General features: G+C 34.0%; 1 annotated feature.

Moving 5' to 3' along the window:
* Positions 463–663: a silencer, noted in NCBI's record as "peak5945 fragment used in MPRA reporter construct". NCBI's record gives its function as "represses an SCP1 promoter by STARR-seq MPRAs in K562 erythroleukemia cells {active_cell/tissue: K562}" and the evidence as "EXISTENCE:reporter gene assay evidence [ECO:0000049][PMID:32103011]".

Raw genomic sequence — 1,125 nt, forward strand, 5'->3', positions numbered from 1 at the left:
CTTCTTTCTAATTCATTTACTCAGCAAATATTTATTGAATACCTACCGTGTTCTGGGAAACTAGTCTAAACAGATTGTTTAATGAACCAAATAGATTTAAAAATCTCTGCCCTTAGAGAGCTTTAATTTAGGTAAGTAGAGAGAGATAATGAAAGGAAATCATGAAATATCCTCATTATTATTCCATTTTAAAGGTGAAAGAACTCATATTCAGAGAGATTAGGCGAATTTCCCGAGATCATGTAGTTACTAACCACCAAAATAAAGCTGAAACTCTTATGTATTCAGTCGCAATTACTTACAGTGAAATAAATGATTACTAAATTGTATACACATAAATCTTCAGTTGGCTTTTGGCACCTGAGATACACATCTGTTGCCTCCATCAATTCTACACATTCTTTGTGTCTTTGTTTTGAAAGACTGGCGTTAAAGCTTCAATGAGAAGCAGCATGAGGATCTCTAGAGTTAGACTCTATTACTAATCTTTGTGTCTCTGCAGAATACACAAATTGAGAATAGGTGGTAATTTGATCATGTTCCACTTAGCTCCACCCTTGACAGTTACTGGATATCAGCACCCTGGACAGCCGCTCTTCAGCCAACCCCTTTCAAAGTGATTCTCAATAAAATACTGCACACTATCTTCTCTTCTTCTGCATTTTAAGTATAATATGGCTATTATGACATTTCCCTACAGCTAATTGTCCAGAACATATCTAACCTCTATGTACTCAATTAGTTAAGTGGTAAAAAGTGCATAAGAATGACATTTGAATTTAACATTCCAAACAGAACATCTGGTTTAAGTGAGTCAAATAATAAAATTTGCACAGTTTTGCACCACCACGTGGTGGTATTTTCTTATTTATATATTATTTATATTTATTGACCATGACTGCCTTAAATGAATTGTCAAAAATTTGAACATCATATAAATATTTGGATGTATAGAAATTAGAAGCCAAGGAAATTCCCTGATCTAAATATACCCTACAAATATGAATGTTCACTGGCTGACAGGATTGTAATTTAGATAACTTCACTACAGTGAGAAAAATAAAGCCACTTTGGAAAGGGAGTCCAGCCTCCCAAAATAGAGAGGCTGTTTGCAAAGAAATTCAG

The sequence above is a fragment of the Homo sapiens genome, chromosome 6 (assembly GCF_000001405.40).
Source record: "Homo sapiens chromosome 6, GRCh38.p14 Primary Assembly".
In the NCBI taxonomy this organism is placed as follows: Eukaryota; Metazoa; Chordata; class Mammalia; order Primates; family Hominidae; genus Homo; species Homo sapiens.